The 12,448-nt window shown below is 53.5% G+C and overlaps 1 protein-coding gene across 2 annotated transcripts in view, besides 1 other annotated feature; it reads left to right on the forward strand.

Moving 5' to 3' along the window:
• DRAXIN (dorsal inhibitory axon guidance protein) overlaps nucleotides 1-12,448 on the forward strand; it is a 39,223-nt gene that overhangs the window by 6,168 nt on the left and 20,607 nt on the right. The window lies entirely within an intron of this gene.
• Nucleotides 11,478-12,105: an enhancer, noted in NCBI's record as "H3K27ac-H3K4me1 hESC enhancer chr1:11764337-11764964 (GRCh37/hg19 assembly coordinates)". NCBI's record gives its function as "activates a minimal SCP1, AML or CMV promoter by ChIP-STARR-seq in naive H9 embryonic stem cells {active_cell/tissue: H9 hESC(naive)}" and the evidence as "EXISTENCE:reporter gene assay evidence [ECO:0000049][PMID:30033119]".

The following is a 12,448-nucleotide window of genomic DNA, read 5'->3' on the forward strand; positions in this document are numbered from 1 at the left end:
GAGTGATCTCGGACAAAGGAATGCACCTCTCTGAGCCTCAGTGTTCCTGTCACAAAACAGGGATGGTGCTAGTCCCTACCTATAGGGATGTGTGTGGAAATTGTGGGGTGCCGCTTGGTGCTGGTTCACACACCCTGTGGAGGAAGGGAGGGGAGGGGAGGGGAGTCTACAGACCTGGGATGGGGTGGGGACAGGGGGCTCCACAGAAATGGATCTCAAAGTCAAGGCTTAGAGACACTTCAGAGTAACCCCACCACCACAGCCTCTTCCCCCATCACACTTCCTGTCACCTTCACCTCCTCGTGCCCATACAGGCGTCCACACCCTTGCAAGCACTCTTCTCTTTCTCTCTCTCCTCCTCTTTGCTTGTCCTAAAATCAGCTAAAACAATCAGGGCCAATGGGTCACTTTTTTTCAAAATGAGATCAGTGTGGCTGAGCTGGTGTTGCCAACAACTGATCACCCATCAGAAGGCGTCCGGTGACTCACCCCCAATTCTGAACCTCAGTCTTGGCTTGATGCCTTTAATAGCGGCACCAGCTCACAGGCCACTTCCTTTCCTCTGAGGGGATTGTCTTGCTGGCTCCTGGACCTGCTGTGTGCTTGCCCAAGCCCCCTGACCACTGTCTAGGTGGTCATAACATGTGACACACCACTCCAGGAGTCTGGCAGTGACGTGGCCTGAGTGTCTTAATGAGGGCAACTTCAGAAGAGGGAAACCTCCCAGCTGGCAGGTTCCAGGCTCCCCTGGCTGAGTTCTTATTTCAGCCACAGCCAGGGCTGGCAACTGGAACCTTTCTCTTTAGAGGCAAGAACGGCTGGATATCCCCACGACATCCCCCATCCAGGCTCCTGCTCGAAATCCGACCTGGCAGACAGGCCCTACTTTGGTGAACCCGGCCCTTCATACCATCTCTACCCCCTGCCTTCTGCAGCAAAGCCAGCTCAGAGGCTTGGGAACCTTGCTCAGGTCCTCTCTGCTCTCTCCGCTGCCTTCCTCCCCACTATTCAATTCATCGCCCTCCCAGTCCATAGTCCTCAGTGGCTCACTGTGGCCACTCAGTTAACTACAGAGACCTCAGCCCAGCCTAGCCCTGTCCTGCCTGCCTCCCAGCATTGTCCCCTCTGCGTCCCAGGTTGCAGCCACGATGGAGAACTGACCATCTCCACAGTCTGCCCTCCTCTGAGCTTTTGCTAGGGCTCTTTCTGCCCTGCCCTGTGTTTGATCTCAGCCCTCTGTCTTTGCTGACCAAGGAGGTCTGATGTCCTCTCCTGTGGGAAGCACCCCGGCACTCCCTTGCCTCCCTAGCTCTTGTGAACTGCACGGCATAATCCCTATCTGGGAGGGGTCTGCTCCTCCCTGGGTGGGGGCTGGGTCTCCTTCTGCTTGTGGTCCCAGTGCCTGGCACGCAGTAGGGGCTCTGTGCACACCTGTTATATTGAATGTGATTCCTGGTCAAAGGCACAGGAATGAACTGAAAACTGCAAGCCCCAGTGTCTTGCTGAGTTCTGCTGGGTCCTGCTGGTGGGGCCAGGGCGGAGCTGGCCCTCTGGCTGGGGAGGTTGGAGGGGGAGCAAGCTGCCCGGAAACCCCTGTGATACTGAGGCCCTGTATCACTCTGGAAAATGAGGGTGGTCTCTGTGCCTGTTATAGGGGTAGAAACTGAGACCAGAGAACGAAGTGGCTCACCCCAGCCGTGCAGATTGGGTTTGAAGCCCAGCTGATCACTTAGCAGCTGTGGGACCCAGAGGGAGTTCCTTCACGTGTGTCGGCCAGGAATGTGATGGAGCAGGGACTTGCATCCCAGCCTCCCCGAACTTCCCTCAGAGGCATGAGCATGTTCCTGGGGGGCAGGTCATAGGAGCACCCCTGTTCTGGCCCAGTGGGTTGGAGCTGCCTCCCTCTTGCTCCGCTGGCCCTCTCTGCATGCCCTACTCCAGCCTTCCTTCTCAGGGGTGAGTCGCTGTGGCCAGTGGTCCCCAAGAAGAAGAAGGTTGTGGGAGGATGGCTGAATCCTTGCCAGTAGAGGCTCTGCCACCCCAGGTTCCAGCTTGACAACGCCCCATGCCCCAACACCATGACCCACCCATGCCCCAACACCAAGACTTCTCTTGATGGGATGGGGTTGAAGGGGTGGTTATGAGGGATGAGGCTCCTGCTAGAACCCAGAGCAACTGGAAGGAGCTCATTGCAGGACTTAATGGTTTTCAGGTGTACCAGGCTCTGGGTCAGGCCCCAGCTCATGCCACCTTCCCTGGGACTCACAGCAGCTGCACTGGTGTTGGTTACTGGATGGCAGCATGAGGAGCAGTCTCGGCCAGGAATGTGATGGAGCAGGGATGATGAGTCTGAGGAGTCAGATGGCTGTGGGTTCGAATCCCAGCTCTATCACTTGCTCTACTAGGCTATCTTAGGCAAGTCCCTTGGTCATTGTCTTAATGTTCCTACACAGCCATTGTTGCTATTACCATCTGAAAAATATTATCCACTTCAGGCCAGGTGCAGTGGCTTATGCCTATAATCCCAGCACTTTGGGAGGCCGAGGCAGCTAGCTCACTTGAGGCCAGGGGTTCGAGACCAGCCTGGCCAACATGGTGCAACCCTATCTCTACTAAAAAAAAAAGATACAAAAATTAGCTGGGAAGTGTGGTGCACGCCTATAATCCCAGCTACTTGGGAGGCTGAGGTAGTAGAATCACTTGAACCCAGGAGGCACAGGTTGCAGGGAGCAGAGGCTGCAGTGAGCTGAGATTGCACCACTGCACTCCAGCCTGGGCAACAGAGTGAGATTCTGTCTCAAAAAAAAAAATATATATATATATATATACTTCAAAGGGTCAAGTTAAATAATGCCTATAAAGCTCTGGGCCTAGAACCTAGAACAGTAGATGATACCCAAACAAACACAGAGCTAAATGGTCTAGGTACCAAGATAATGAAGTTTGAGGAATATGGAGGCTGAGGGTTGCTTCCCCCACCCACAAATTGCCTAGGAGAGGAGGAAGAGGGGCCACAAGTACCTATAATCTAGCAGGAGGTAGGACTCGAGTTCAGCAGGTGAGCGGGGAATGCTGGAAGCTGGAGGCCTTTGAATGGGTGGGGCCTCTGATGAACTCCCGCAAAGCCCCTGTACAGGTTTTTAAGGTGTGAGGTCTGGGGTGGGTTGAAAATCCCAAGGCTGCTGTCGGAAACAATAAAAGCAGATGGAGCTGCCCCTGCAGGGAAGCCAAACCTCATTTGCCAGGACAATGGTCCCCTCCAGGCTGGCCTAGGACAGTCCTGCCCTGCCATCGATCACCCCACTGAGGACAGAGGACGCAGCCACCTGCGCCTGCCCCTTTGCACACCCAGGCACAGATGCACAAATGCTTCCAGGAAACTCCCTGGCCCCCACCACACCCATGCCTGCCACCTTACTCCCTCTGTCTCCCCTTCCCATAGTAACAACTACTGTTTATTTCACCCTTCTGTGTCCCATTTACTTTATAAACATTTACTCCCCAGCCGGGTGCGGTGGCTCACGCCTGTAATCCCAGCACTTTGGGAGACAGAGGCAGGCGGATCATGAGGTCAGGAGTTCGAGACCAGCCTGGCCAAGGTGGTAAAACCCCGTCTCTACTAAAAATACAAAAATTAGCCGGGCATGGTGGTGGGAGCCTGTAATCCCAGTTACTCGGAAGGCTGAGGCAGGAGAATCGCTTGAACCTGGGAGGCGGAGGTTGCAGTTAGCTGAGATTGTGCCATCGCACTCCAGCCTGGGCAACAAGAGCAAAAATCTGTCTCAAAAAAACCAAAACAAAAAACACTTTGGGAGGCCAAAGCGAGCAGGTCACGAGGTCAAGAGATCGAGAACATCCTAATCAACACGGTGAAACTCTGTCTGTACTAAAAATGCAAAAATTAGCCGGGCGTGGTGGTGTGCACCTGTAGTCCCAGCTACTCGGGAGGCTGAGGCAGAAGAATTGCTTGAACCCAGGAGGCAATGAGCCTCCTGGTTTCAGTGAGCCAAGATCGCGCCACTGCACTCCAGCCTGGTGACAGAGCAAGACTCTGTCTCAAAAAACAAAAACAAAACAAATCAAAATAGCCAGGCATGGTGGTGCATGCCTGTAATCCCAGCTGCTTGGGAGGCTAAGGCAGAAGAATCACTTGAGCCCGTGAGGCAGAAGTTGCAGTGAGCCGAGATCGTGCCATTGCACTCCAGCCTGGGCAACAGAACGAGATTCCATCTTAATAATTAAAAAAAAAAAAAAAAACAACTTTTACTCCCCAATCCTCATGACAGCTAACATTTTACAAGAGAGGAAACTGGGGCCCAGAGAGGTTAAAAAACTTGCCCAGGTTGTCTAGCTCCTTCTGCTTTGCTCAGTGAGGGCCCTCCCATGGGTCAGCTTAGTGGGTTTGGGCTGACATCTGTGAGCTGGAATCGGTAGTAGTGATGTCTGGGCCTCCACCTCTCATTAATGAGACCTGTGGCCTCTCACCCGGACTGTCTCCCTTATCAGTGGGGACACCTGGAGGCAAGGACTGTGTCTTTGCTGGCAGATCAGCAGCTCCATGTTCTGGGACCCTCCCAAGGCCAGAGTTGTGCCTCTCCTATCAGATTGGCAAATTCCTGAGGACAGCAACTGTATCTACCCTGCTAGATGGGAGGCTTCCCCAGGGCAGGGGCTGCTTCTGGCTTAGATTGAAAGCACTCTGCAGCCATGGGCTAGGTCCCCTAATAGTCATAGAGTCCTCTAAGGCATGACCTGGTTCCCTCCTATCCCAATGAGCCAGGACTATGTGTCCGCCCTCAGACTGGTGGTTTCCAGGAGCAGAAGCCAGGTCTCTCCCTTCAGACTGGAGCAGGTGCCCTTGTCTGGCATCCTGGTTCTGCACACAGAGGGGCTCAGCTAGTGGCTGACCACCGGGATTCACTCTCCCCTGCGATCTCCATCGCAAGGAGGCAGCAGTCCCCAGCAGAGCAAAAGGCAGAGCTCTGTGCCTGAGAAAGACCCGTGGAGGGGTAGGTGGGGCTCTGGCTGCTCTGAGGCCTAGGGGTTGCTGAGAGGCCCCTTCCTATTGGTCAGGTGACACTTTGGGCGATACAGAGCCACAGGGAGGCAGGGAGATGGGTAGGGACTAGTCCAGGATGATCAACGCACCAGTATGCCAGTGAACACCCAGCAGGGCAGCTGCTGTGAATCCCACCCGCCCCATCCTCTATGCCACCTGCACTGCCGGGCTCCATCCATACCCGGAACACCACCACCACCCACCCACACACAAACCACACAGAAGCACTGACTTCCTAAGTAGTCAAGTCTCATGGCAGCCTAATAATCCCATTTCACAGACAAGGGAATAGACTCATGAAGGGAGGAGATGTTGGGAGGGATCAGGAGGGGGGTTAGAACACTCTCGTTTCAAATTACCTTGGGAAGAGCTCAGCCCAGGAATTAATTTAGAATCCATACAGTTGTTCCCCAACTCTCATGTAGGATATGACTGTTTTGACTGAACAAGAAAATTACCCACTTTCCAGCCCTAGGGGTGTCAGCTCCACCTAAACAAGACAGAAGTCTGCTCCTAGGGGGCCGGGGCTCCAGGAAGCCCTAACTAGATCTGGGGCTGACTGCAGAGTGGCCACACTCTGCTAAGAGCAGATGGGGCTTCCGGACTGCACTGCCCATCTCCAATTCCTGCCGTTTCAGGAAGTGTCCATGTGAGTGATGAGGAGTAGCCAGAGGGAAAAGTTGGGCAGATCAATCTCAAGTTAAAGCAATTGCTGGGCCCGGGACTCACGCCTGTAATTCCAGAACTTTGGGAGGCCAAGGTGGGAGGATCACTTGAGGCCAGAAGTTCAAGACCAGCCTGGGCAACATAGGGAGAGACCTCATCTCAACTAAAACTAAGAAAAAATTAGCCTGGCATGATGGTTTGTGGCTGTTGTCCCAGCTACTTAGGAGACTGAGGCAGGAAGATTGCTTGAGCTGGAGAGGTTGAGGCTACAGTGAGCTATGATGGTACAACTACTCCAGCCTGTAGGGCAGAGCAAGACTCTGTCTACAAACAAACAAAAAAGCAATCGTAAAATCTTCCTGGAACTACAGAGACATAAAACCTGAGATGATTCCTGCATTCAACAAAATCTCCTGAATCTGGGGATACAATTCCTCCCCACAGAGCTCCTAGGTTGGGAGTATCCGGAAGGGAAGATTTTGCCCCTAGCTCCTGGAGACTCAGTCCACACCCTACTGGATATTGTCTGTCACCCCTCCCCATAGGGGTCTGACAGTTGAACAGACAGACAGATGGAGGAGTCTTATCGTCATAGATCATAAATTCTCAGGCTCCCTTGGCAGACAGGGCCTTTGGGACCACCTAATCCAATGGCCCAGTGGTCCTCCTCCCCTACTCCCTGCCAAAAAGAAATGTTTTGAGTAGTGCAAATCTTTTCCCAAATGAAATTCGATCCGTAATCCCAATACATAAAATCAACAAAACAGTGTTTTATAAGCAGTGTAGCACTCCACCACCACCAAGAATGCCTTTCCCCAAATCAAAAATGTCTCTATTTTATGCAGACACAACACACCTTTAAGCCCTACTTGCGATCAGACTAACTCTCTTTGGCTTCTCCCACCTAGATTCTGTGCGACCACTGCTTTGCCCCAGTTTATAATAATTACTTATTTTAATTTTTGTTAAAAAAATTTTTTTTTAGAGACAGGGACTTACTATGTTGTCCAGACTGAATTCAAACTCCTGGGCTCAAGGGATCCTCCTGCCTCAGCCTCCCAAGTAGCCAGGACTAATATTTACTTATTTTAAAGCAAACCGCCGGGCGCAGTGGCTCAAGCCAGGCATGGTGCTCACACCTGTAATCCCAGCACTTTGGGAGGTCAAGGTGGGTGGATCACCTGAGGTCAGGAGTTCGAGACCAGCCTGGCCAACATAGTGAAACCCCGTCTCTACTAAAAATACAAGAATTAGCTGGGTGTGGTGGTGCGTGCCTGTAATCCCAGCTACTCGGGAGGCTAAGGCAGGAGAATCGTTTGAACCTAGAAGGTGGAGATTGAAGTGAGCCGAGATGGCGCCACTGCACTCCAGCCCGGGTGACACAGCGAGACTCACTCTCAATAAATAAATAAATAAATAAATAAAGTAAATCCAGGTGTAGTAGCTCACACCTGTAATCCCAGCACTTTGGGAGGCCAAGGTGGGTGGATCACGAGGTCAGGAGTTCAAGACCAGCCTGACCAACATGGTGAAATCCTGTCTCTATTAAAAACACAAAAATTAGCTGGGCGTGGTGGCAGCGCCTGTAATCCCTCAGGAGACTGAGGCAGGAGAATTGCTTGAACACGGGAGACGGAGGTTGCAGTGAGCCGAGATTGTGCCACTGCACTCCAGCCTGGGTGACACAGCGAGACTCTGTTTCAAAATAAATAAATAAATATAAATAAAGTAAACCAATGAGAAAAAAAGAAGCTGTTCTCCATGATAGAAAATGATGTAATGGATATCAGTTACACTCATGGATGTGAGGCTGCGCTTCTAACTGGCTTTGATTATTCACGTTCAGAAAATCCTGGAGCATGCAATTAAGTAGCTGCAAATGGCAGCGAGTCTTTGAAACTGCTCACCTTATATCCCTGGAATACTCTTCAGTGAACCAGAAGCCCAAGTTATGATGGGGCCGTGCCCATGTTCAAATTGGGTAGAGAATGTATTCGAGAGTGTCTGTTATTTTTACTACAGTTTTCAAAATAATTTTAAAAATATATTTTTAAAGTGAAGCTAGAATCAGATGCTTACAGAACCCCTGAAACATTCCTGCCAAATACAGTCGCACGAATTTGTCGCTTTGGCACATGAGTAGATTCGGGGTAAGGGAGGGAGGCTGATGGGCTCCGGTTCTCCCCGTGGGGGGTTGCCTGCTTCACATCATAATCCTTCCGCACCATCTGAGCAGCACTGATATCCCTGACCCAGGATTCCCATGGGACCCGCCTTGGCCAGCCATGACTTGCTCCCCCCAACCCACTATGCAACAGGAAGGCCGATCAGCGCCGCAGGAATGCTGGTCCGACAGCTGTCCCGAGAAGCCTGGTGGCCGAGCTCCACAGTTGTCCCTCAGGCAGGCGGGGCAGGATCCCCCGAGTCTCCTGGCCCCCAAATGCAAGGCTGTTGTGGGGGGAGGGGCTCAGGAATCAAAGCTGACTCCAGGCTCGATTCATCGCCTTCGTTTGCATACGGCGATGCTGACAGCTCTCCAACTCTCCCCTAGGATGGGGGACAAGATGGGGGCTTGAGATAAGCCCCTTCCCCTCCCTGGTTAGTGTCTGTTTCCCAGCTGCTGGTGGCTCCTGGGCCCTGACTGCACTCAAGGAGGAAGATGCCTCTCACCGCGAGGATGAGCGGCTGCGTGAGGGAGGCAGGTGGCCCCACGGGCAATGGGGACAAGAACCATGTCCTGTGTGCACCGGGTGCCAGGAGAACCCCGGCCTTGAGATGGGCTTTGCCACTTGCCAGTTGTGCCATCTTGGATTTGTGGCTTACAACCCCCTCGCCCCCAGAGCCTCGGTTTCGTCATTTTAAAACCATGGAAAAGTCTCCCTGATGTACAGCGCAGTTGAGAGGAAAAATGAGATGTGAATGAAAGAAAGAAACGCGGAAAGGCCTGGGCTTCACAGCTGCTCGGGGACAGCAGCTCCTACAATTACGATTGCTTTTGTTTTAATTTGTTTTGTTTTTAATGATTCGCTATCAGACCTCAGTTGTGAAAGGGGCCGGCTGTGGGTTGTGGATGTTCCTGCCATCCCTCAGCAACTCTGGTCCAGGGCTACTCCGGGCTGCTGACTGTGCTCGGCTGGGAGGAGCAGACCCTGGGCCAGAAGCGCAGGCTTTGTGAGCAACCCGGGCCGGGCAGAACCGCCCCGGGCTGCGGGGAGGCGGAGGGGGCTGCCTCCTCCTTCTGCCTGGTTGCCTGGTGCTTTGTGACACAGCCTCCAACTGGCTTTCAGAGTGACAGAAATGGATTGGAGCCCTTGGTCGCTGTGGATCCTTGGCACGACTTCTGTAGCAGCCCACGTTTCCTCGGGGGCTCCCTGCCAGGCTGGCATCTCAGTTGCTGGGCTGTGCCAAGAGCTGTGTACAAATCCTTGGGCTTGGAGAGAGGGGCCCGTGTAGTCTTCCCCCAGCCCCTCCTCCAGCTGACACACACTGTTGCACACAGTCCACACCCATGCTCACAAACATGCTTGTGCACACACATACGCTCACACATGCTCACAACACACATGCTCTCACACACGCGAGTTCACACACACATGCTCACACTCATACGTACACGCCCACACACATTCACGCTCACACATGCTGACAACACACATGCTCACACATACACACATGCTCACACACACCCATACATATGCTCACAACACATACACGCTCTCACACACACATGCACATACACACCCATACCCATACATATTCACACTCACATGCTCACAGCACACACACACGCTCACGCACATGCTAACACTCCCACACATACACTGACAACACACACACCTACACACCCACACATTCACGCTTACACATCATCACACACACGCTCACACATGTTCACACACACATGCTAACACTCCTACACACTCACAACACACATACATACCTACACACCCACACATATTCATGCTCTCACATGATCATAGTATACACACACATGCACTCACACATGCTCCACACACACACATGCTAACACTCCCACACACTCACTACACACCTACACACCCATACATATTCACGCTTACACATGATCATAGTACACACACACACATGCTCACACATGCTCCACACACACGTCATGCTCACACATACATGCCAGATGCTCACACACACACACTCACACATCCTGGGGATTTATTTATGATCTTCTGCCGAGGTATGAATTCTTTTTTTTTTTTTTCTTTTGAGTCTCTCTCTGTCGCCCAGGTTGGAGTGCAGAGGCACAATCTTGGCTCACTGCAACTTCCGCCTCCAAGTTTCAAGCAATTCTCCTGCCTCAGCCTCCTGAGTAGTTGGGATTACAGGCGCATGCCATCATGCACGTCTAATTTTTGTATTTTTAGTAGAGGCGGGGCTTCACCATGCTGGCCAGGCTGGCCTCGAACTCCTGACCTCAGGTGATCCTCCCACCTTGGCCTCCCAAAGTGCTGGGATTACAGGCATGAGCAACTGTGCCCGGCCTGATACATAAATTGGATTGTGCTCAATCCACTTCTGTTCTGATCCATGGCTACCAGCGCCTATTATGTGCAGGGCCCTGGAGGGGCCGCAGAGCAGAAGGGAATGTGCAGAGTCCTTTATGAGCTTCCAGTCTAGCCAGGGGCTCTAAAAAACCTGACGGTCCCAGCACAAAATGACACACGAGGTCTTCAAGAGCAGGACAAAGGCATGTGGGAGCACCAAGCGGAGAGCACATGGAGTCAGGGGACTGAACAAGGCTTCCTGGAGGAAGGGACATTTGGGTTGAGTCCCAAAGGATGGGCAGGACGTGGACGGAGAGAGATGAGGGAGAGGGGGAGAGGTTCCATGCAGAGGGGACAGGCAAAGTGAGAACAGAGAGCCAGAAAGCAGGGGTGTGTTTGGGGCCCAGGGAGCAGTCTCTGTTGCCTGTGAAGGGGAGAAAGTAGAAGTTGGAGCTGCAAAGCTTGGTTGGGGCCACATTACACAAGGTCTTCAGTGCCAAAGTAAGGAGTCTGTGGTTGCATGGGAAGGCAATAGGGAGCCATAGACAGTTTTGAGCAGATAAGGGTCACAACCCGAGTAGCCATACCACCAGTATATGCTGGGTCTGGGGACAGGATGGAGCCCCCTTGGATGCACCCCCATGGGTGCTCTGGCACTGTGCACTGAAATCCCACTTCCTCTGTCCCAGGCTGGCTGCGTGGGTGATATGTGGTTCTTGAAGGGTGGGAGGGAACAAAGATGGCATTCAGACTGGGGTTCCACTGGCCCTGAAGCAGGATGGGTACTGTGAATGGACCCACAGCCAAGTAGGGTCGTGGCAACGGAGCTTGGGAAGGTGGCAGTCTGGGTGGGATCATGCTGCTTCGGGGTGTTGGAGTGGGGCAGGAGTGGGAGTTCATCTCCTGGCTCTGCAGGGAAGGAGCTGTCCTCCAAGACCAGCACCTAGGCTGCTCACCAGGCTCAGAGGCGGCTCTGAGGTTTACTGACAGCCTTGTGTGTCCCCAGGGACAGCAGACTAGCTGAGAAGCTGCCCACCTCTCTACTGAGCCTCCTCTGCTCTCTTGCCCGCACTGTCTGGGTTTTCTTCCTCATTCCCCTCAACCCCCAGGACAAGGAGGAGGTGGTGATTCCTTTCATTGGCCAACGTCCCGAGGTTTCCCTGTCCCTAGGACGCTCTTCGGGCTTCTCCCAGGCTGTCATGTCCCTGCAGGACAGAAAGGCAGGGCTGGGTCTCGGACATGGACGGGATCCCATATGCGCTTGGCCTTTCCAGTCACAAGGAGAGCAGGGGGTGAAGTCTGGCAGTGGTCAGGCTAAATGCCAGCCCAGAGAGCAGCCCCGCTCCACTGGCCCCGAAGCAGGATTGAGGTTCCCTCTGCGCCGAACAATGCTTGAGTGACAGGCCTTTAAAATGGGCCCCTCCTCCCCCTGGGCTGCCTCAGGAACCAGGGACACAGGTCCCGCTTGCTGAGCTCTGGCCTCAAGAGCACTTGTTAGGGAAGGGCTGGAGGCAAGGCCAGTGGGACAGAGCCTTCCGTTGCTGGTGACGTGACCAGGACAGTAGCAGGGACTGTGGTGCAGGGTCTGTGGCCTTAGGAATGGATGCAGGTGTGATGGGAGACAGGGTTGTCACAACAAGCCTGTCCCAGGGTCCCACGCACGTCACCAAGGCTCACCTAGTATCTTCAGCCAGATCCCCGGGATAGGGGACAAGATGGAAAGTGACGGCCACCTCCTTGTCTCCATCCACAGTTCTAGGAAGAGCTGAGCTGTGGACAGTGGAGGCCAGGGCCCAGGATCCCAGGGGACCAGGACATGCCAGGCTGGGATGGAGGCAGAACTGGGTGAAGCCACCACAGACCCTGCGAGGCTGGAGAAGGTGTTTCCCCCCTCCCCTCCACGAGTGCGTGGTCAGAGCTTCGAGGGCACAGCAGTTTCCCTGCCCTACCACCCTCCCTCGGGGTCGGGGCTAAGGTGACACTGGGGTGGGCCAGCCAGCATGGGGGCCGCAGGGAGAGGCGCCGGGAAGCAGGGAAACATCACAGGCCCACCAACCTTTTCTCAGCCCGGGACAATTATATGGCCACAAATCACAAAGAAACGGTGGCGTAAGCACCCTTGCCAGCCTAGTGGAATACTCGGGAGGCCATAAAAATTCAATTAGCCTGGCTAACCTAGTGCCTAGCTCCAGGATACAGTGAGGTT

This window comes from Homo sapiens, chromosome 1, assembly GCF_000001405.40.
Source record: "Homo sapiens chromosome 1, GRCh38.p14 Primary Assembly".
NCBI lineage: Eukaryota > Metazoa > Chordata > Mammalia > Primates > Hominidae > Homo > Homo sapiens.